The sequence below is a fragment of the Homo sapiens genome, chromosome 6 (assembly GCF_000001405.40).
Source record: "Homo sapiens chromosome 6, GRCh38.p14 Primary Assembly".
In the NCBI taxonomy this organism is placed as follows: Eukaryota; Metazoa; Chordata; class Mammalia; order Primates; family Hominidae; genus Homo; species Homo sapiens.
In genome coordinates, this window is record NC_000006.12 from 81,513,230 (window position 1) to 81,538,837 (window position 25,608).

A 25,608-nucleotide genomic window follows, 5' to 3' on the forward strand; every position below is an offset into this window, starting at 1 on the left:
TTGTAAAAATTGGGTAGTCATATAAAAATAGACTCATTATTTAAACCAAAACTAGAATAAATTCCAAATCAATCAGAACTCTAAATTCAAATTTGGAATAATACAAGTATTAGAAGAAAATATGAGCAAATTACTTTATAATCTTCAAATACTCTGCCTAATGGAAAATAGGGAAATTTTGCTAGCTATAATTCAAAATCCAGTGTCAGTACAAGAAATGATTGATAACATAGCAAAACACAAAAGCAATGTAAAAATACAAATAAAAAATTGAAAAAATATGTGTAACATATCAAAAAGGCTAATATCTAGTACCTGAAGAACTTTTAAAAATGGAAATTAAAGTACCAATAACCCATTAGAAAAGCGGAGAAATTATATAAAATATGATCAATATGCAACGTATAAAAATGATCCTTAAACATATGAAACAAGACTACCTTTATTTAAAATTATAGAAAAACAAACCAAACTGTACTGAAATACCATTTTTAATTACCTGATTGTTAAAAAGCTGAGGCTGACAGGATGTTCCACATGGACAGTTCTAAGAAAACAAACACCCTCATTCATGGTTACAGAAATGCGAAATGATGAATCCTATGAAGAAGAATTTGGAAATATTTACCAAATTGCCTATGTGTTATTCTGTGACTTGAGGATCTTTCTTCTAGATTCTGGCAAATATGCAAATTATCCTTTAAGCAAGGTTGTTAATTGTGACATTAATTAAAGATATATTAATAGGGAATTACACTGTTGTGCCTCCACTCAAAGCAGTGCTGTGCAGCTATAAAGAGGAATAAAGGTGATTTGTGTGTCTAGAAAAATATAGATAAATAGATGATAGATAAAGATAGATAGCTCTAGGATATACATTAAGTAAAATAAATTACAAAATATTATTTCTAGAATGATACCATGTATGTAAGAGAGGGGAATTGTGTGTGTATATGTATTTCATTCAATTTTCAAAATAGAAACCATGTAAATGTGAAACCAAACCTAATAAAATTTTGCCCATGCAGAGAGTCGGGGCAAAGGGTCAATGGAACAGGAATACTATCAGGACTTTTGTGAATTTTTTTCTACTTTGACTTGGAACTATGTAAATATTTTATATAATTTAAAATTTTACTTTTTGTTTTGTTTTGTTTTTTATTTTTTATTTTTATTTTTTATTTTATTATTATTATACTTTAAGTTTTAGGTACATGTGCACAATGTGCAGGTTAGTTACATATGTATACACGTGCCATGCTGGTGTGCTGCACCCATTAACTCGTCATTTAGCATTAGGTATATCTCCTAAAGCTATCCCTCCCAAATGAAACGTCTAAAATTATAAAACATACTGAAATAACAGCTGTCACTTCCAGTGATTTTTCAGTTTATATACCTGACAGCATAACTATCTGCTTAAGTTTTCTGCACCCTCTGTTGTGATCATGTGTAAATTTTTTATGTGTACCTGTAAAACTTTTCTAATATATATTAGCAATTAAAGACTTTAAAAAAGAAAAGTAGGCCGGGTACGGAGGCTCACACCTGTAATTTCAGCACTTTGGGAGGCAGGGGCAGGTGGATCACGTGAAGTCAGGAGTTCGACAGCAGCCTGGCCAACATGGTGAAACCCCATCTGTACTAAAAATACAAAAAAATAAACTGAGTATGGTGGCACGCTCCTGTAGTCCCAGCTACTCAGGAGGCTGAGGCAGGAGAATCCGTTGAACCCAGGAGGCGGAGGTTGCAGTGAGCTGAGATCAGGCCACTGCACTCCAGCCTGGGTGACAGAGTGAGACTCTGTATCATAAAATTAATTAATTAAATAGGAAAATTATACATATTCACATAATGAGTCTCCCTGCTCCTAACTTCTCTCTCTTCCTTCATGAAAACCCTATGTGAAATTTATCTTACTCCAACACTATTTGATCATGTCACTCAAGGACAAACAGAAGGCTTCAGTGTGTTACACAGATTTAAAAAAAAAACAAAAACAAACAAAAAAAACCACTCCACAAGTTGTGTTTCATGGGTCTCTTCTGACCGCTCCTTATCTTCTAAGCTTTCCTCCTTGCTATTATCCCACTGGTTTCCATTCTGTCCATCATTTCTCACCACAAATTCCATTTTGTATCCAGCACAACTTCCCAGTTCTGCCCTTCCCACCTCTATTTCATCATAGGTTCTTGGTTTGTTAGGCCCTCCTGACTTCTTCCCCACCTATGTGTCTTACTTTAATAAAAAAATTCTTAATCCTATACAATTTCTTCATCCAGCGCTGTCATTATCCCCCTATTTCTTTTTAAAATTAATTCATTACTCAATATCCCCTACAACCCATCAACAAAATTTTTTGCTTAATTAGTACTAACTGTAATCTCTCTTTACATCAATATATAGTACTTATCCTTTTAGAGTAGAATCCCCACCAGTGCAGAGATTTGTTTCTGGTGTGTTCCTAAATAGCATCGAGTTTATTATGGTTGAAGATGTTTATACCTAAGTCCCAGAAGTTCTGCTCTGGTGAGATAACAGCCACATCCAGGCATTAATTGGCCAAGGGAATTTGGCTAACTCAACTCTCTGACTGTTCTGGAAAAGATTTCATAATATTCATAAATTCATCTGTGCATCAAAATTGCTATTAAAGCAAATTATATAATTAATAAAAAATGTATTTGCACATGACTAGGAACACAATGACCTAGAAAATAAGAATGACGTGAATATGTTAAAGAAGGTCGCTTAGTTTGTGCCAAACCAATATGATTGGAATCCAATGGTGACGTAAGTTAGAAGTGGCATGTCAGCCTGACAACAATTTCCTGGCCAGGGTAAGTTTGCATCACGCTTTCAGCAGACGCTTCTAATAATATGCTTTCAGAAATAGGCATCTCACTTTTTAAATGTCTCCCCAAACACATATGCTTTGACACTCTGGATCAAACACACTTTTGAAAGCTTTTTCTAACAAAATGTTACCCTTATAGTGATACCTAAAATCTGACATGCTGTTACTAATAATTTTTATAGCTTCTTGCATAATACTGTAAACTTTGCACAATAGTTATACTGTTCCAGGGGGAAACAAACGTTTTTTCTCAAAAGACTATTTTCAATTAAAGACAGAATTGAGGAGAACACAAAATTAAATAGTTCATAAAACAAGATGACTCTTTTTGTGGCATAAACACCATGCTCAAGCATTGAAGTGAAGAATATAAAGAATGTGAAAGGAAGAAGAAAAGTCAAAAGAAAAACGAAAAGAGGTATATTTTGAAGTTTGATTTCTATAGCTTTAAAAGTTTAAAGAAATAATTTCCAGATTTAGAGTTTTATATAAAAGTATTTACTAGATTAATATGAAAAGTAACTTTGGTGATCTCTTGGCTCTACCTAGCACAGCAGATAATCTAGAAATAGAGGAGGAGTTTTATAGTGAGACCAAAACGTTCATACCTGACTCACATCACCCTGACTCCAATCTTAACCATACCCCCACTTCTACCCCCACTCCTACACACACACACACACAAACACACACACATTCACTGTAGTCCACTAAGAACACAGGACTAGAAGGGTGGAAGAAGATGGATGGGACTTATAGAGAAGGAAAAGGAGAATGGAGTGGGGTTGGGAACAATTATAAGAAAGCTATTAAAATCAAGTACAACTTTGGAATTTTAGGACTGAAATAAGGCTTTAATTTTTAAAAATAGATAACATTATATAATCTAATCCAGATATCATTCACCACCAACTGAGAAGGGGGGTTTAACATACAGACATCTGATGGGGGCCAGATATTAAAAAACAAATAAAACTTACATGTCTATCACAATTAGTTATATATACTGTTGGATTTACACGTTTCAAATGAACTTTACATTTGAAAATTCAGCATTTTCATTTTATCTAGAACAATTTAGCTTAAGCAAAGAAAATAATTATCCTAAAATCAGCAGGAATAAACTATTTCTATAAGTACCATATAAAATCTTATGCCTAGAAATTGCATGCTAAAATTTTAAGGAGACTTCCTTCTCTTCCAGTCATTAGGAAAACTGGGGACCCTGTTCTTTTTCAAAGTGAAAATTAAATATGTTCTTCTGACACTTTTAGCTTGAATATTAAAACTTGGACAGAATTAGTCATTGCTAATAATCAACAATATATTCAACTGCCACCAATTAGGGACTCTTCGAACAACAACATGTCATTGAACAATAACAACAAAAATGAATCTTAGGAGAAAAGAATAAACACAAGTACAGTATCACATTGTAAGTTTCAATAAACATTTGCCAAGAGCCTTGAATTAAAATAGAACCCGTCAGTTTATTATACATAACTTCAAACTGAAGAGCTTTTAACACAGACATCTGTTAGCTAGTTGCTGATGGACCTTAGACATGTGCATATGTATGTAAGCAAATATACACATAGCTCATTTAGACTTCCCTCATGCACCATTCCAAAAGGAAACTCTAAGTTTCATATCTTACTCGTATGTACTGCCATTTCTCTCAATAATCGTTTGCTAGCTTGTCTTTGAAAAATGCCTTATGTCAATTTTATTTTAAGTAAAGGAATAGTTAATCATAGAACATAAAAAAGTAAACTGAAGCATATTTAAAGTAACACTTTAAATTCTAAGATGTATATGAAACCTATTAAATAAAGAATAAAAAATGAAAATGAAAAACATCTCCTGAAAGCAAAATAAAAGTAATGGTATGCACTTATGGCTTAACTTAGGCCAGAGGATCCTTTTAGGATATAAAGTCACCATCTTAGATGGCAAAATCCATTCTGTTAGGGTAGGGTTCCCTTACCAGGGTGAGGGAGGCGACCACATCAGTGTTTTACCAAAATAAATGCCTTGTAAAACAGAATCTCAGGTGTTAAAAGGGGAAGGAGATTATTATTTTTATAAAGCTTCCAGTATATTCTGCTATATATGCTTTAGCCTACAGAACCCACATTTGAAAATCGCCATCTTGATTTACCCTATTGCTAAAGATACATGTTTAATTCAACTGAATACATATTTGGGAGCACTTATGAGGCATGTGATTCTTCTGAAATTTTCAGCTCAAGGTAGCACTCACTCTCATTTATTTTCTCTTGCCCCTCCACTCTGTGATTAAGTGCCCCTCTTCTCTCCTCTTAAAGCCTCTGGTGCACCCCTCTTAACGGAACAGTCATCTCACCTTTTAGTCTGTAATTATTTATTTGAGTGTCAATATTATTTACATATTTAGAGCCTAAAAGAATGTCTAATACAAAGAAGATACAAACATAATGTTTGATGGGCGGATGAGTTAATGTGTTCACTAATTCAGTAAATACTTCTGGAGTGCCAATTACGTGTCAGACACTATACTAAATGCTGGTAATGCTGTATCTTAGACACACACACACACACACAAACACACACACAGAGAGAGAGAGAGAGCAAGTAAGTGAATGAGGAAGCAGAAAGGAAGGAGAGATGGGGAGTTAAATGAGGCTGAGTAAGAAACTAATTTTCTTCTCAAGCGCATGTAGTTTAATAGGAAACTCACCATTTCTTATTCCATCAGTCAGCCAGTCTATCAGTCAACAAATATTTATTGGAATCTACTTTGTGTCAGGTACAACTGGAGATGCACACCACAGTAAACAAGAAGCTCCGGGTACCTACCTTAGTGATCCTAAGATCTAGGGCAGTAGGCAGAAAAATGAACAAATTACCAAGATGTATTATAATATTTGGTAAGTGAATAAGTGCTTTGAAGGAAATGAAGAGGATAGAGGCCAAAGAGCAGCTGATACAGGCATTACTTTATACAGGATATACGGGGACAGGCTGTCTGCAATGTTACATTTAAAAGACCTCGAGGTTCACCAAAAAACTACCACTCATGTATGGGATGTTGATAGTGAGGGAGGTTTGTATGTGTGGGAACTAAGGGTGTAGGGACTAGGGTCTTTTACTTTCTGACATTTTGGCTGTAAGCTAGAACTACTCTAAAAAATAAAATATATTAAAAATACATACACACATATAAATTCAGAAATAAAAAAACCCTGAGGGAATACCACAATTTAAATACTTTGATATCCTTATAACATTTACTATATTTGCAAAATTTGGTAACAGAAATTCTTATGAAGAGTTTATAACAGACACACTCTATCATTCTCTACAAAACCACGTTATACCACCTATAAATTTTACTGCAAAACCCAAGTCCATTCAGCTGCCAAATGATGCCTCAAATTCCACTATAAAGCCACCAAATCAAACAGAAGACATGGAAGATTAAACATTTCTCTTTAATAATGACTTTTCTATTCACTCCACCCTAACCCCATCTGCTTTCCAGCTGTTCAGCCCCTCGCAAATCCCATTTTTAGAACCTATTCGTTCATTTTCTTTAAAGAAACCTAAATTCCCTTATTATTTATTAATACATAAGTAATTTTATACCTAAATACATCTCGTAGCCTCAACTACAATTTACCACATTCAAAAAGTTACCCACATTATATTATTTATAACAAATTCCTTCTGAAATCACTGCTGTCTTCTACCCTAAATTTGTTTCCAGGATCCACATTTGCAATCAATACTCTTAATACTAGCATATACTTGCCAAAATCTCTGGTCTTTTTCATAGACTCCACCCATTCATATTATCAATTCCCCCTGTTAAAGAATCAGTCTCTCATATGATGTCAATTTTCAGGACTATAAAGAAAAGGGAGGAAATGCAAATAAACATTGATTTTTATTTATTCCTTTTTAAATTCTTACTCTCTCCAGATGTGTGATTTCCTCATAATGCCAACCCTTTTAAGTCTTCATCTACCACCTTTATACCAAGGTGCCCCAAATTAATGATCTCTAGTCCCGCCCCTCTCACTATGTTGTCAACTGCCTACCAGTCCCTGACACCTGATTTTCAGCCAACACTGGAAACTCCAGAAGTTTGGAATGATCCTTCTTATGCTGACACTGCAATGAGTTCTTCTGACTGTCCTAGCTTCATCTCACCACTCTTCCAGTCACACAAGTTCAAAGCTTTGAAGTAATCTTTCTTCTTCCCTCTCACTCACTTGCTTGCCAGGTCCTGAAAATATTTTATTCTGTAGCATGTCACTCAATATTCCCTTTCTTTTTATTTCCACAGTTGAGCTAATGGCTCACATCTGGATCTTTGCAATAGGAAGCCTAACTAGTTTCCTAACTCCACATCCATTCCTCCTAAGCTGTTACCAACCATCATCATATTAGGCTTCCTAGAACATAAAACCAAGTACAGGATGCCCTATGGAAATATTTTAAAATTCTGTGGTAGGGCATTCAAGGTCTTTCATTCTAAAAATCAAATCTATATTTCCAGTACTGAGCAACTGCAGTGCTATTCACTTGTCAGCCTACCCACTCTTCCCAACACATTGCTTTCCTTGCCCTTTTTGTTTTCAACACAATATTCTTTTTTTTAATTTTATTATTATTATACTTTAAGTTTTAGGGTACATGTGCACAATGTGCAGGTTTGTTACATATGTATACATGTGCCATGTTGGTGTGCTGCACCCATTAACTCGTCATTTAGCATTAGGTATATCTCCTAATGCTATCCCTCCCCCCTCCCCCAACCCCACAACAGTCCCCAGAGTGTGATGTTCCCCTTCCTGGGTCCATGTGTTCTCATTGTTCAATTCCCACCTATGAGTGAGAACATGCGGTGTTTGGTTTTTTGTCCTTGGAAATAGTTTGCTGAGAATGATGGTTTCCATTTTCATCCATGTCCCTACAAAGGACATGAACTCATCATTGTTTATGTCTGCATAGTATTCCATGGTGTATATGTGCCACATTTTCTTAATCCAGTCTATCGTTGTTGGACATTTGGGTTGGTTCCAAGTCTTTGCTATTGTGAATAGTGCCACAATAAACATATGTGTGCATGTGTCTTTATAGCAGCATGATTTATAATCCTTTGGGAATATACCCAGTAATGGGATGGCTGGGTCAAATGGTATTTCTAGTTCTAGATCCCTGAGGAATTGCCACACTGACTTCCACAATGGTTGAACTAGTTTACAGTTCCACCAACAGTGTAAAACTGTTCCTATTTCTCCACATCCTCTCCTGCACCTGTTGTTTCCTGACTTTTTAATGATTGCCCTTCTAACTGGTATGAGATGGTATCTCATTGTGGTTCTAATTAAACTAAAGAGCTTCTGCACAGCAAAAAAAACTACCATCAGAGTGAACAGGCAACCTACAAAATGGGGAAAATTTTCGCAACCTACTCATCTGACAAAGGGCTAATATCCAGAATCTACAATGAACTCAAACAAATTTACAAGAAAAAAACAAACAACCCCATCAACAAGTGGGCGAAGGACACGAACAGACACTTCTCAAAAGAAGACATTTATGCAGCCAAAAAACACATCAAAAAATGCTCATCATCACTGGCCATCAGAGAAATGCAAATTAGACATAATATTCTGTACGACTGAAAATGTCTTTTACTTGACAGCTCTTCCTCCACTTGATAAAATTTTAATAATTTTATAAAATTATGTGAGATGTTTTCTGATATGTGGATTTTTCCATGTTACAATTTCTCCACCATGGATTACATCACTGCTTTGGTTATATACATGTTTTAATTCTATAAAACAATTAGGGCTATCTCAAACTCTCAAAATGCTACTTCCTCTGCCATAAAACATGATATTCTCACTCCAGAAATTCAGTAAAATTACAAACTTCTTAAATACTTTTTATAGACAATTTTTAGTTATCTATATCTCTACCCCAAAATTCAACTCCCTGTCCCCAAATTAAAACTATACATTGGGATGAGATATGTGTCTTTATTTATGTATGAACTCTTTATTTATACACTGACTCATTCATTCATTCACCTTTGCATACAACATTAATCATAAATCCATAAAGAATTTAACATTGCTTGTGGAGTTAGAGTATGATGATTAAAATAATATTAAAATAAATAATAAAATATGATAAAATTTTAAAAAGTAAGATTATTAGAAGTTCTGATTGGGAGAAATGAAAGAAATACATACTATTAAATACCATACATTTCCCAATTATTGGCCACAAATAAGTTATTTGAAATCTCTTACATGGTTTATCATAATGCTTTATATCTAGAAAGGGATTAATGAATGTTTTTAAATTGCTAACTGAATCATTATTCTTCCTATTTTTTTTTTGAGAGATAAGTCAAAACTCTTCAGAAACGTGTTTTGGTTTTAGCAAACCAACTTATTTATTTTTAAGTATCAATATTAATGGCATATAAACAAACAATGTTCTGGCACATATTTTGAGAAGATGAAAAAACAGAATGGACAAGCTTAAAGTAACCTGATATGACACAATAATAAATATATTTACGGTCTTTGCAGTCATTTCTTGGTGCATAGCTTTTAAAACCCTTGAAATCTCTAAAGTTATAAGTGTATTTTTGTGTCCTAGTGAGATTACTAGCATGGCTGTGGGTTCCTGGATATGGGGGCATCCTGGATATTATCCAGGATGGGGGCTGGTTGCCAGGGGAACCAGCCTGTGATTAAAGAATTGAAATTTTGAGCCCCAGCCCCCAACATCCAGGGAGGAAAGAGGGGCTGAAGGTAAAGCTAATAACCAATGGCCAATTATGTAATTAATTATATGTACATAATGAATCCTCTATAAAATCCTCAAAGGACAGTGTTTGGAGAGCTTCTGGGTTGCTGAACACATCTACGTCCCAGTAGCATGGCACATTCCATCTCCATGGGGACAGAAGTTCCTGCACTTGGGACCCTTCCAAACCTCACTGTCTGTACCTCTTCATCTAGCTGCTCATTGGTATCCTTTAACATATCCATTGAAATAAATAGGCAGTAGTAAGCAAAGCATTTCCTTGATTTCCATAAGCCATTAGATCAAATGATGGAAGCTGAGGAGAGGGTTATGGGAAGCCCAATATGTAGCCAATTGATCAGATGTATTGGAGATGGAGACTTGGACTTATGATTAAATCTGAAGTAGGGTACAGTCTTGTAGGACTGAGGCCTTCATCTGTGGAATTTGACTCTCGCTCTAGGTAGATCATGCCAGGACTGAATTTAATTATAGCCCAACAGGCTAGTGTTGGAGAATTGGTCAATGTGGGGAAAAAAACACACAAACATACACATCTGGGGTCACAGAAATGTTCTGTGTTGAGTTTGAGCAGTAAAGAACAAAATTGTCTTTTTCTAATATATACCTGACATATAAGAACATCTGTATTTATACTAATGTGTACATTTATTCACTCTTCAATAAACCCTCATTCAGGTCCCATTCTATGAAAAGTACATGCTGTCATTTTTTTTAGAGATACAGGAAGATAGTATTTACTTTAAAAAAATCATCATCATCATCATTCAGAATAAAAGATAAAATAAAATGAATAAGTTGTTATTGCCTTAGTCAAAGATTCCAGAAATGACTCATCTATGTCTCTCATTTTATCAAGAACTTTTTAAAAAGGAATCTCTTATACCTCCCATATTTAAAATCAATATTATTACTTGTCCCTCCAAACCTCTCCAACTGTGTTCCCATTCATAGAAACAATTCTTCATACAATTTCTTTGTCTCCACTTTCTTACTTCACATTCACTCTCCCACCATGACCTTGCTGCTGTTCCAATTAGTTCAATGAAATTGAACTGCACTGACTGGGATCACCAAATACTTCTTGTTTCCATGTCCAACAGGCACAATTTTTAAAAATAAAGCAACGAACATCATTTAATATCATGAGCTATTCTGTACTTCTTTAAACGGGTTTATCTCTTTGTCCACTCATAACTCTCCTTTTCCAGTTTCAGATCTTTGACTTGGACTTAAAATGTAGTTCACTAAAACCTAAGACTTGAAACTGTAAAAAGACTAGAAGAAAACAGAGGGAAAGCTTTGTATCATCAGTCTCAGTGGTGATTTTTTGGATGTAGCTCCCAAATCACAGGCAACAATAGCAAAAATAGAGAAGTGAGATTACATCAAACTAAAAAGCTTCTGCCCAGCAAAGAAATATTTGACAGAATGAAGAGAAAACCTATAGAATGAAAAAAAATTGCAAACCATACATCTGCTAAGGGATTAATATTCAAAACACATAAGGAATGAAACAACTCAATAGAAAAAAATAACCCAATTAAAAAATAATGGGCAAAGGATCTGAATACATTTCTCCAAAGATGACATACAAATGGCCAACAAGCATATGAAAAAAATACTCAACTTCACCAATTATCAGAAAAATTCAAATTAAAGCCATAATGAGATATTACCTTCCACTTGTTAGAATGTCTAGTCTCAGAAAAATGAAAGATAACAAGTGTTGATGAGAATGCAAGAAAAGCGAATCCTTGTACAGTGTGGATGGGAATGTAAATTAGTACAGCTATTATGGAAAACACAATGGAGGTCCCACAAAAAATTAAAAATAGAACTACCGTATTATCCAGCAATCTCACTACTGGGTATATATCCAAAGGAAATGAAGTCAACATGTCAAAGAAATATCTACACTCCCATGTTCACTGCAGCACTATTCACAATAGCCAAAATATAAAATCAACCAAGGTGTCCAGTAGTGGATAAATGGAAGATGTGGCGTAACAGTGGAATACTATTCTGCCTTAAGATAAAGGAAATCCTGGCATTGGAGACAACATGAATGAACCTGAAGGATACTATGTTAAGCAAAATAAGCCAGGCTCAGAGAAACAAATGCCATATGATCTCATTTATATGTGGAATCTAAGTAAGTCAAACTCATAGAAACAGAGTAGAATGTTTCTTACCAAGGACTGTCGGTGAGTGGTAATTGGGAAGATGTTGGTCAAAAGATACAAAATTTCAGTGAGACAGAGGAATAAGTTCAATAGATCTATTGAACATCATGGTTTCTGTAGTTAATAACAATGTATTGTATATTCGAAAATTGCTAAGAGTAGACTTTAATGTTTTCATCACACACAAAAAATTGTAAGGGTATGAAGTAATGCATATATTAATTAGCTTGTTTTAGCCATTCCACAATGCATAAAATATTTTAAAACACAACATCATACACAATAAATGTATAGAATTTTGTCAATTTAAAAAATAAATAGGCCAAGCACAGTGGCTCACGCCTGTAATCCCAGCACTCTGGGATGCCGACGTGGGTGGATCACCTGAGGTCAAGAGTTCGAGACTAGCCTGGCTAACATGGTGAAACCCCGTTTCTACTAAAAATACAAAAAAATTAGCCAGGCGTGGTGTCACGTGCCTGTAATCCAAGCTACTTGGGAGGCTGAGGCAGAGAATCGCTTGAACCCGGGAGGCAAAGGTTGCAGTGAGCAGAGATCGTGCCATTGCACTCCAGCCTGGGCGACAGGAGTGAAACTCTGTCTCAGAATAAGAATAATAATAATAATAATTACAATAAAAATGTAGGCATTCTATAGTGCTTAGTCTTTGATCCTCTCCTTTTCTCACTCTACACTTTTTCTCTATGTAATATCATTCAATTATATGGCTTGCACATAAAATACTAACTACTCAAATAGATATTTCCAGTCTGAACCTCTCAAATAAGCTAAAGCCTTATATGTCATAGTGGCCACAAATGTCTCCTAATGTCTAAAATGTATCTTAAATTTAATACATAAAAAAGTGGACTTGGATCTTCACTCCAAAACCTGTTCATCCCAGATCTTCAGTAAATTGCACCTGCACCACCATCTACTCAATGGTTCAACCCATATTCCTGGTAGACATATTTCATTCCTTTCTCTCCTTCTTCTCATGCCTCATATTTAATCAATCAGCAAAACTCCACAAATTATACTTCTAAGATATATTTCACAACCGTTCTTGTGTACTTCTCTACTAAACTGTCCAAGTCCAAACCTTTATCATTGAGTGGACTCTCATTATCTTCACTTCCTAAATGTGCTCTTTGCTGTTTTTCTCCCCTTACTTCCTTTCAGTTCATTTTTCACACAACAGTTCTATTGGCAAAATAAGTAAATTTGATCTCTCTTTCTCACTCCCTCTCTCTCTTTCTCTCTACCTCTCTCTCACTCTCTGCCTCTCTCCCTTTTCCTCTCCCTCTCCCTCCCTCTGATTTAAAATTGTTGACCAGCATGCAAACTCCTATCTTGTCCTTCAATGCCTACATCATCTGACCTCCTGGCCTACCTATTTTCTCTATTCCAATCATACTGGCCTCCTTTCAGTTCCTGAAAGATTCCTAGATCTTCCATGCTTGAAATATTTCACTTATCCTATTCTTTCCACCCAGAATTCTCTTTACTTACATCTTTGCATGGCTGAGTGTTTTTTTTTTTTTCTTTAAGTGTCAGTTTGTGTTACATGAAAGAAGTATTCACTGATACTGGCAGCAGCTCTTTTTTTCAGAGAATTTGATGTTTTTATTATTGGTTTAATTCTTTAGCTATGTCTTCTCTTTGTAATCTATATGCCCTATGTGGGAAGCCACACTATCTGTCTTACGCACTTCTGTAAGAATTACCTAGAACAATGTCTGGTAGCTGGTTAGCAAAATAAATATTTTTAAACAAATATATTGTTTTAAAAATGACTGAATTAACCAATTACATACTACTATAAAGAATTTAAATTGATTTTCTAGATTTGGAGCCAGTTGTATATTAAGCTCTGATGAAAGTCAATATTTCTTAATACTAAATGATTAAAGCAAAGAATGGGTAGAATTAGTACCTAAATCAATGAGAACTAAATAAAGAGAAGCTAACCACATACATTTGTAATACCTGACGCTTCAGCCTATGAGATAGATTGTGTTTTACTTATGTGGTCTCCTTCTCTCTAGATTAAAATTCAAATGTAAATGCAAAATTTTATGGGCCATTTGCTTTCACAGTAAACTTGGATATCATTTGGTATACTTCAATTTTTTTAAACTGTGAATACCTGAGAAGATTTAGGCTTTCATGGAAGTATAATCTGGAAATCTCTGTATTCATTGTTTCTTAAAAGATCTTAGCACAATTAAACAGGCTAAATGATGAAGACATTTAATGACAAATTTCATATTTTTTGTCCTTATGCTTTGTCATCCAGCTGAAAGCCCCTTAAGCCAAAACAATGAATCATTTATGACAACCTTGCAAGGGGCCAAACACAACTCAACATAGACTCAGGTGTCTTTCTTCAGTCTGACATGCAATGTTACCACTTTTTAGCATGAAGTGGGAAACCTGAAAGACAGCAAAGCAGAAAAGAATAAATAAGTAATTAAGCTTTTTCTATCCAATGGAAAACAATTTAGAAGTTTGGCATTACTTTTTATATTTTTTGTAAATTCCTATTTCAGTAAACAAACATCAGTATAAATACTAAATAAGGCCACAATTAATTGATTCTTGAACCAACTGTATCAGCAGTCTCTATATTTAACATAAAAAATCAAATGCCAACTATACTATCATATTCAAATATATGTTAATAAACAGCATTAATAAATGCTCTAAAATGAGTTCAAAAATAAAGATAAAGCATATTTGCTAAGAAGTTGACTTCTAATGAAAAATACTAAACATTGTCAAGCATTTTATATTAAAAATCCGTCTAATTATCTCCCTTTTGTTGCTTGGGAAGGAGCGAAATTTCCTCAGAAATTAAGAACTTAGACACTACTCTTTACTTAATACCTATGACTTTTTGCAATGTAACCTTCTCATATAGTGAAGAGACTTCTGAGTGAGCTACATCCAAATTCAAACATGAGTCTGGAATCTTCCTGATTATATATATAGCTTCATAATCTCTCTATAAATCCGCTGATTTTTCTTATCCTTAAAATTGGGAAGACATCTTCCTCATCAAAATATTGAGATGACTATTTTAAATAAGATACTATATGTAAAGCTCTGAGCACTTGGATGTGCTCAATAAATATTACTTCATATGATCTTAGAGAAAAGTAAAGAGATTAAATTTTGTCAAATTTCTGCTAATGTTTCATAAACGTTCTCCCAGATGGTAGGTAAACCTTGTATCTGCCCTGTAGAGCTGATGATACTATAATTATCTCCACAGGTTTGTACTCAGAATTTGGTGCTCGGGGAAATTACTTGCACACTGCACATCTAGTACATTGGGATATAAAGGGTTTCAATTCAAATCTTAGAAATATTAAAAGCCATTTTTTTCTGTCCCTTTGGTTGACTCATAAGGGGAAATTTTCCAAGATGTGAGGGCCATCAGGACTACTTTAGTGGGAAAAGATCAAATTGATTAGACCCACTTGGTCAAACCCAAGAAATGGGACAGAAGAGTATTTAAAAGAAACTCAGAGTCACCCAAGAGGACAACCTTTCAGTAAAGTGACTCACTGGGACACCCATAGTTCAAATGTGTCTACATGTCCCCTCCTTTCCCATTCCCAGGACTTGGTATCAGCAAGTTCCCAGGAAGCAGAAGACTTTGTAGAGAAGTCTAGCCAAATAAGATATATCAAGATCTAAACAGAAATTGTTAAGTTTATCACTATTGTTTTTAATAAGCTATTTGCTCTTTCCTGTTTTTTCACTTCAAATGTTGGAGTAATGGTGGTAAAAGATTGTAAAAGCAATAGATAGACTACAAAATAAACTGTCTCAGTTATTTCCTCTAAATCTATCTCCAAAAGCCCACCTTTTATTAATAGGTAGCAGAGTATGAAACCAAGGCCATACCAATCCCAGGAAGCAGCTGCCTATTAAAAATGAAGCCCACTGAAACCACCCAGTTGCAACAACTAGAACAGAGTTTAGACAACCTATTATAATCAACCTATTTCTTATTCATGGCTCAAGAACTATAATTGCATAAGGACCTTACTGTACTCTGCACTCGATGGATGCTCAAAAAGTAGTTTCGGCCAAAACTAATTGATTTGACTAGGAGAATGAATGTGAAAATACTAAAATCTCTTCTCCTAAAACTAAAATAACATTTCTCAAAAACACCATTGTACATTCCAGAGGATATCTGTTCTAAACATTAAATGCAACTATCTGCTCTTAGCATTAAAATTTAGCTCAGGAATATCTTATAAAACATTTGAGAATAGTATAATTTTGCCTTTCAAAAATTTTTTTCCAATCAATATTTGGCTAGTTTTGAAAAATCTGGCAATCATATATTATTTAGTAATGATGATGACTGTCCCACTTTCTTTCTGCCCTTGAAAACAAATCTGGAGAATATTCCTATTCAAAACAATTTTTTTTCTAAAAACATCTGGCTATTTAAGTTTTATCTCCCTTCCTAATAAGGTTCAAAATTGGTATCACTCATGATCATCTGGTTATCATATTCATGGAATAAATTAATAATTATCCTAAATATGAGATATCTAGTGGGACAGTAGAATAAAATACTTAAAATATAAACCGAGTCAGAAAATCTAGAACATACAGTCAATGTGCATGTGATGATTGCTGATAATTCTTTGGGCTTTTATTTATTTTTTTTTGGAAGACTTCATTACCTGCTGTTTGAATAAAGTATTCAGAAGGATAACAGGTATTGCTGTTGTTGTTGTTGTTGTTGTTGTTGTCATCGTTGTTCTTTTACAAAAGTTTCCTAGTAGTTGATATGCTATCTAGCAGATGACAAAAGTCCTGCCCTATGGTGACAGAGCAAAGAATAAAAAATACCGGGCCTTCAGGACAATAGAAGGTGGGCATTTTCATGACAGATAGTGTTCTTAGAGAGTATAGAATTACTGGAGTAATGAGAATAGGACTGAAAGCCTTTTCTATAAATGATTGAGCATCCTCAGTGTCCTATGGATTCACAATGTCCTAGGAAAGAACTCATTTCATGGGGGAAACCAGTCATTTAGCACAGAGGGAAGCACAGTGGAGGGACACACAGGAGAACCTAGGGGGATAGAAGGAAAGAGGCATAAGATAACATCAAGGCTTGTAACCAGGATGTGCGAGCAGAGACCTCTTGGCACCCAGGGAATTGTGAGTGAGTTTGGGAATGCACAATTGTGAGACTCCAAGTTGGACTTTGTGATGTAGTAGGATGGTGGAATATGTTTGCATCTTGAATAGATTGTTGCTATTTTTTAGTTGTAACCACATTTTCTCCTAATGATAGGGTCCAGGTAAGTAGGAATAATTAGTTTGTTTCTGTGAGTAAATTTTCCAGTTATTTTGATAACAATTTGAGTGAACAAAACAGTGTGAGAAGAAAAGCAAGACATAAAGCATCCCAGGGTCTAATTTCTAAGGGTATCCCAGTGAAAATGTTATTTCAAATTAGATAATTTTAGAGATAGCAGGTAGAATTTATCTATTCACTTAGACTCTCATGTATGCACTAAGTACTACATATCTTCTGTAGGAATGTCTTGGAACCAGGGCAGATTATATGTACTAAATAAACACATGAGGGTGTACGATCAAGAAGCTTACAGAAGGACAGAAAAGACATAATCTCATTGAGATGGATGCAAATAGAAGATGCTACAATGACACGTAATTACCAAGTGACTTGCAATTGTTTCAGACTGGGGAGGGGACCAGTCAGATAAGGATGACAGAAGACAAAGATGACATATCCCCTAAAGTAATATTTGAAACAACGGATGATAGCCACCCCAATGATAACATTCCAGTTCGCCTTCAAATTAGATAATGAATACCTCAAAGATCTCATTAATGTAATTATATAGTATGTAGTAAACATCATGGTGAGCGATGGCATAGCAAAGTTGGAGGGGAGCAGGAATCATACAACCGTGAAAGTAACTAGACCAGACTCTAGCCCAACAGACATTGTACCCACCTCTAAATACAGTGCTAACTCAAGGGCTTTTTCATCTAATTCAAGTACTACAATCATAAACTCCTCCAAATAATTTGTGTACTGAAAGAATTCTACATTCTGCTGTTTCATGGACTTTGAAGAGCCATGTTCTCAATTTCAGGTATTCTCTGTGCCCTGTATAATTGTTTTTCTAGGAGACAGTTAACAGAACTCAGATAAAAACTGTATAGCAGTACTTCTTCTCTTTAGACCATCTGTCTCTTTAGTCACTGATTAATGGCTCTACACTTGGAAATTTTCGGCCTCTTTGGAAAAATAGCAAATTACATAAATCTAAAATATGTTAGTAGGTAGGAGACTTATGCTCTGCTTCCTTCACTTTGGCATCTTTGGGTCACACATCAAGACACTATAAAGTTTAAGGAAATGGAAATTTTGGTTTAAAATGTGTCCCTTCTCTCCCCAGTCTCATTTCTGTTTTCTTCAAGCCACTCTCCCACAATCACATTCACACTCATTTTGTGTCAATAACTTGAAAATCATACCATCAATCTATACACACACACACACACACACACACACACACATTTTTCATTTTTTTTTTCTACAACATATTTCAATGGATTAGGTTCTGGTACCAAACAAATAAGATATGGTCCTTGCTTCCCCAGAAGTTCTAATATGAACTTGACAGTAGCAACACACATCAACATAAAGTCATTTAGACAGCTGTACAAATACTGATAAATAATGTATATCCATTTTTTTAAATTAGTAAATATGGGTTATGTGGGTGAAAATTAAAAAATGAACTGCAAAATCTTCAGACCATTAGAGCTTATTAAATAAAATATATAGGAGACTATTGGTTTGGACTGAACTCCTGCACTAGACCCAACAGACCAAAACAAAATGGAGTCACTCATGCTATAAAGTTCCATGTCACTAAGCCAAAAGTAAGTTATCTGACCTGCCGAGAAATCAGGAGAGTGAGAGATAATAGCCAAATTCCCAAACAAGCCAGTCTTAGCCAACATGATAAGGAAGTGCTCTCTAACACTTACAAGGAAATTAACTTTAAACAACCAATCTGATTTTTGTTCTCTGTTTCTGCTTTCCTCAGCTCCTTGTCTACAAAACTAACCTGTTTAGCTCAGTTCATTGGAACACTCATTCTACCTTGTAAGATGAGGTGCTGCCCAATTTTAGAATCACAAATAAAAGCCAGTTGAGAGTTTCACTTTCAAATATGTTATAACTTTGTCTTTTAACAACCTGAAAGAGGTTTTAAGTCCATCGAGGTCTGCAGCTTCATTGTACAAAAGGGAAAACCACAAGCATAGTGTGTATAGGCGAAGGAAATCATAACATCACATTCCATTGATGGAGTAAGGCTTTTTGTAGGGGTTCAGATTTCCTGAATGCTCTGAACAGAAGAGATTGAGTTTTCTGTTTGAAATTTAGAAATCCTTCACTTGTACCTACAAGTAATCCCTTTTCTCAGAATCAGATGCCTTATGTAAATCTTTCATTGCCATCTCAAACAAGCCTGGCAGCCTTTTACCAAAGACAGAAAGCAGGCTCTGGAATTTATTTCAAGGTTTCCTTATGGTCAGACTAATGTTGCTAGGTTTCAGAAAAGATTCCTAGGAAAGATTCAGAAAAGATTCAACCCTAGGCTAAGGGTTGAAGCTGCACAGCATCTCTGCTTCCAAACATTAGTGTTTTCCTTCTTTTTTGAATGGTCAATAAGCCAGTTCCACATTATTAAAGTGAAAGATCATGAAAGACAATTTTTTAAGAAGTCCAATTCAATTTAACTGGGTGCAAAGGACCCTCAGTATTCTATTTTATTTCAAATTTTATGTATATGTAAACAAGTAGTATTAAAAAATGAATTCTTTTTTTACTCAAAGGTAAATTGCATTATTAAAACATAAGCCCTAATTTCCAAATATTGTGATAATAAGAATTTGAAAAAAAACATGTAACAGGAAAATTTTGAAGCAGGCTTGGCTTCATTTTGGAAACTCTAAATGTTACCAGTTTATTCCCAAGGGTAGTCATCAGCATTGATATTGACAAAGCTTTTCTTAAAATAGCCAATGAGGAGTTCTACATACAAGGTGTACTCAATAAGCTTGCTCATCAATTTACTGACTCACTAATAGATTTGCCACTGCTTTGTGTCATCAATTTAAAACATCCTTATCTGAAAATAATTTATGGAAATCCATGGTCCTTGAAAATGAAAAAGCATACTGTTTTGTTTTCAGATTTCATCATCCTGTTTTCTCTTTATTCATAAATATTTAAATGACAAATTAGGCTACCAAAATTATCACACCTACACTGCAGTCTCCTTTAACCCTCCTCACACAAAATGTTCCTTCCTTATTTATCTTTTCTGTTTGGGCATAAATAAAAAGCCTTGTAATTTGAATGTTTAATCTATAGAAGATTTCATTCCTTGTCAAAGAGTCTAGGTTGATCATATTCTTCCACTAATAGTATCATCCTATCTAAGTAGCTCATAAAAAATTAAGAATCACATGTAATTATTTTTATTCAGTTCCCTAAAACATATAAAACCTATACCTGATTTTTACATTTGATGAAGAAACTAAATGTTTATTTATTGAAGCTACGTGGTTTGTTTACTACAAGAGGTTTAAAGTCACAGTAGAAAAAAAACACAGTATAAATAAAGTAACAGGAATAAAATTGAAAATAAAACTTGAATAAGAAGCAAAAGAAGAGAAGATTCCCAGTCAGCTAAAATGAACACATTGTTGTATTTGTTTCTGATTTCCTGACATTTAAGGTAAACTCATATTTGCGCTTCAAGACATAGGTCAAATGACACCTGCTTTGTGAAGTTTCTCCTGAGCCCTTAAGGATCAGCAGTTCTTTCTTCTCCAGAACCCTAGTAGGATGTGAATACTTACCTCATTTGTCGCAATACTTTGCTTATAAATCCATCTTTGCTCACAGAAGCAATTCCTCAAGGCATCAAAATCAGGGACCTCTGCCTTTCCTTAGTTCCTGTTGTTACATGAGTATTTAGCACCCTCCAGTAGCCCATTTTTCCCCTCTGAAACTTTTTCAACTTATTTATTATCATTTGAGTTCTGACATATCACCAGTGAGTTCGTTCTTTCAGTCTGAAGACTCGCACTGCCTTTTTTTATTAAAACAAAATGTTTAATATTAAATAATTTCTACATCTTAACTTTTCCTCATACTCTTTTTCTAAAACTGCTAGAGAGATATCAAAGTCCCTGAGATGATGTTCAATAATTCATCAGTTCAATAACTCATATTTTCCAGTTTTTGTTCTATGCTTTGTGTGTTTATCAACTTTGTTTTTCAGAATACAGCATTAGTTTGGTATGTAGATTTTCTAGTTATTTCTTTCTTACATTTTCAGAAAATATGTTTGAGTTCCAAAAATACTTACTTGGTTTTCATAGCAGTCTGATTTTCCTTTATTTTTCTCTTCTAATGTATGTAGTGTGCACTCAAATCTTTCTGAGAATGTAATTAGAATATTTTTTAAGTTTTCTTATGTTCATTGAATTACTTCTGTTTCCTTTAGTCATTTGTTCTATTTCATTAGCTTGTTTCTTTGCATTTAGTTTGTCGATTTTCTTAAATTCTCTGATGATCTATAGTTGGTAATTCACAATTAAGAAGAAAGGTCTTGATGGATGAATTAAGGTAGCTGTCATACCTTTCTATGTAGGTCTGGATCTATTTTTCCAAAACGTCCTTCCATGAAATGAACAGGCTGTTTTCCTTTTTGTGTAATGTTAAAGAAAAAAAATATTCAATGATACTTGTTAAAGCACAGTAAAAAAGACTTCATTTAGGATCATTGCAGTAGCTACAGGAATGACTACAACTAAGTCTTAACAATAGGCTAGGGAGATTGAACTCAACTCCGAATACAGCAGGGGCAAGTGAGAATCTGTAGCCAAGAAGCAGATGAGGTAGTCAGAGGATGGAAAATTACTAAGCAGAAACATCAGGGGTAAGGGGAATTCTGGCTAAACCAACCTAACAGGATCTTGCTAAAAACAGACCAGAAAGATCAGAAATCACCTGGGGGATAAGGGAGGATAAGTAATATGATCAGCTACCAAGGGTGATCAGACACTGAGATTGGGGATTGTTGCTAAACTGACTTAGTTAAAACAGTATTTTACAAGGAAGTGCACAGATGGGCCTAGAAGAATGTTCAGAAGACGTGACTAAAATTTGGCCAAGCAAAGAATCCATGTCAGCAAGTAAGTGAGGACATACTAACTGGTTGGCATCATATTAGGATGTGTGGACAGGAGGTAAGCAGGTAGGCTGCCCATATGACAAAATAACAAGAATATTATTCTGGGAATGAAGCACTTTAGCATATTTTTCTCCCAGTCTGAGAATTTTTATTCATCTGTTCTCATGTTGCTGATAAAGACATATCCAAGATGGGAATTTATGAAGAAAATCAGGTTTAATGGACTCACAGTTCCATGTGGCTGGGGAGGCCTCAGACAAGAAAATAATGAGAGCCAAGTGAAAAGGGGTTTCCCTTATAAAACCATCAGCTCTCATGAGACTTAGTCACTACCATAAAAACAGTATGGGAAAAACTGCCCCAATGATTAAATTATCTCCCACTGGGTTCCTCCCACAACACATGGGAATTATGGGAGCTACAATACAAGATGAGATTTTGATGGAGACACAGCCAAACCATATCATTCTACCCCTGGCCCCTCCCAAATCTCATGTCCTCACATTTCAAAATCAATCATGCCTTTCCAAGAGTCCCCCAAAGTCTTAACTCATTTCAGCATTAACTCAAAAGTCCACAGTCCAAAGTCTCATCTGAGACAAGGCAAGTTTCTTCCACCTATAAGCCTGTAAAATCAAAAGCAAGTTAGTTACTTGCTGGATACAATGGGGGTACAGGCATTGGGTAAATACACCCAGTCCAAATAGGAGAAATTGGCCAAAACAAAGGGGCTACAGGCCCCGTGCAAGTCTGAAATTGAGTGGAGCAGCCAAATCTTAAAGCTCCAAAATGATCTCCTTTGACTTCATGTCTCACATCCAGGACATGCTAATGCAAGAGGTGAGTTCCCATGGTCTTGGGCAGCTCTGCCCCTGTGGCTTTGCAGGGTACAGTCTCCCTCCAAGCTGCTTTAATGGGCTGGCATTGAGTGTCTGCAGCTTTCTAGGCACAAAGTGCAAGCTGTCAGTGGATCTACAGCTCTGGAGTCTGGAGGACAGTGGCCCTATTCTCACAGCTCCACTAGGCAATGCTCCAGTGGGGACTCTGTGTGGGGCTCCAACCACACATTTCCCTTCCTCACTGCCCTAGCAGAGGTTCTCCATGAGGGCCCCAACCCTAGAGCAAACTTCTGCCTCAACACCCATGAATTTACATACATCTTTTGGAATCCAGGCAGTGGTTCCCAAACCTCAATTCTTGACTTCTGTGTACCCACAGACTCAAAACCATGTGTAAGCTTCCAAAGCTTGGGGCTTGAACCCTCTGGTGCAACAGCCCGAGCTGTACCTTGGCCCCTTTTAGTCATGGCTAGAGTGGCTGGGACACAGGGCACCAAGTCCCTAGGCTGCACTGAGCAGGGGGACCCTGGACCTGGCCCAAGAAACCATTTTTCCTTCCTATGCCTCTGGGCCTATGATAAGAGTGGCTGCTGCCAAGGTCTCTGACACACCCTGGAGACATTTTCTCCATTGATTCAGAGATTAATATTTGACTTGTTACTTATGCAAATTTCTGCACCTGCTTGAATTTCTCCTCCGAAAATGGGTTTCTGTTTTCTATTGCATTATCAGGCTACAAATTTTCCAAACTTTTATGCTCTGTTTCCCTTTCAAAACTGAATGCTTTTAACAGCACCTCTCAGGTCACCTCTCGAATACTTTGCTGTTTAGAAATTTCCTCCAAAGATACCCTAAATCATCTCTCTCAAGTTCAAAATTCCACATATCTCTAGGGCAGGGGCAAAATGCCACCAGTCTCTTTTCTAAAACATAGCAAGGATCATCTTTACTCCACTTTCCAACAAGTTCCTCATCTCCATCTGAGACTACCTCAGCCTGGATTTCATTGTCCATATCATTATCAGCATTTTGGTCAAAACCATTCAACAAGTCTCTAGGAAGTTCCAAACTTTCCTACATTTTCCTGTCTTCATCTGTTCCATCTGTTCCATCTTCGTCTGTTCCTGTCTCCAAACTGTTCCAACCTCTTCCTGTTACCCACTTCCAAGTCACTTCCACATTTTTGGGAATCTTTACAGCGGCACCCCATTCTACTGGTACCAATTTACTAAATTAGTCTATTCTCATGCTGCTGATAAAAACATACTTGAGACTTGGTAATTTATAAAGAAAAAGAGGTTTAATGGACTCACAGTGCCATGTGACTGGGGTGGCCTCAGAATCATGGAGGAAGGCAAACGGCATGTTTTTCATGGTGGCAGACAAGAGAAGAACGAGAACCAAGCAAAATGGATTTTCCCTTATAAAACCATCAGATCTTGTGAGACTTATTCACTACCACGAGAACAGTATAGGGGAAACCACCCTCATGATTCAATTATCTCTCACCAGGTCCCTCTCACAACATGTGGGAATTATGGGAGCTACAATTCAAGATGAGATTTGGATGGAGACACAGCCAAACCATATCAAAAGGTTTTCTTTTAAATTTCTTCTGTATGGTTGTAGAGCTTTCATGCATTCAGAAGTGAGCTCTGCTTCTGTCTCAGGTGACAAATGTCATACTGAACATGCTACCCCATCCTACACTCTACTTAGTTCCTTTCAAAAGAAGTTATCTGGCTTAATCTAGGGAATAAATGCCACTGATGTCACTTACTCTGTGCGGAGTTTCCAGAGGGTCACATTGGTCCTGTTAGCCTGCAGACAGACTTTTAAATAACTATCCTGACTGCTGTTTCACAACCCCTTTCCCAGAGGCCTGCTAACTAAACCTAAAACTTTCCTAACATATGTAAGGCATCTCCTTTGACTATGTAGGACTTCCAGTTGTGTCTTCTAATCTTGATTATCTGTCAATAAAATTATGTTCTCCAGAAATCATTCATAATTTCAGTTTCAATTGTACTGACAGCATCACATCCTATTTGTAATGCAGTTATGGATCTTCTTTTTCTTTATAAAACAACTCTCTGTCATTTCAATAGAAAGGTCAAAGAAAAACCCCCTTGCTAAGATCATCTTTGAACTATCAGCTCTGTGTATTTGGATTCTCAGTTGGAGTTTAGACGTATTTCTTTGCTTTAATTGTGGACCTACAAAATAAGTATTGTTATCTACTGTACACTTAAATGTTTATGTAACTAATTTACCATTCTTTGCAGTGTTTCATATGCCTAATTATTAATCTTTAGAAAGATTCTACTCTTATTGAGAAAATTACAAAGGTGATTCTCATAGAAATTATCTTTTGAGCTGTGGCACTTTTGAAAACCTGAAAATCAGTTAAATTCAGGCTCAGGGCTGAATCTGGCACCTAAGTCACAGGTTTCAATAGAGCTAGGAATATTAAAATGATAAAAATGCCCTTGATGCTTACCTTTTAACAACAACATTAATGACAGCAAAAGGTAGGCTCCTTAAGTGATTTTTTAAATCTTCCAATCCATTTTGAAGACACATCTAATGTCCAAGTA

The 25,608-nt window shown here is 35.6% G+C and overlaps 1 long non-coding RNA gene across 9 annotated transcripts in view; it reads right to left on the minus strand.

Moving 5' to 3' along the window:
• LOC105377871 (uncharacterized) overlaps positions 1 to 25,608 on the minus strand; it is a 105,003-nt gene that overhangs the window by 67,988 nt on the left and 11,407 nt on the right. For 2 of the 9 annotated variants that reach the window (XR_007059658.1, XR_001744222.2), the window contains exons 1-2: positions 1,549 to 24,409; positions 500 to 600 (exon numbers count right to left, since the gene is read on the minus strand). This is a non-coding gene — a long non-coding RNA (uncharacterized LOC105377871). Of the gene's footprint in view, positions 1 to 499; positions 601 to 1,548; positions 24,410 to 25,608 lie in introns of those variants that run through there. The other 7 variants (XR_007059659.1, XR_007059660.1, XR_007059663.1 and 4 more) reach the window with 6 other exon arrangements.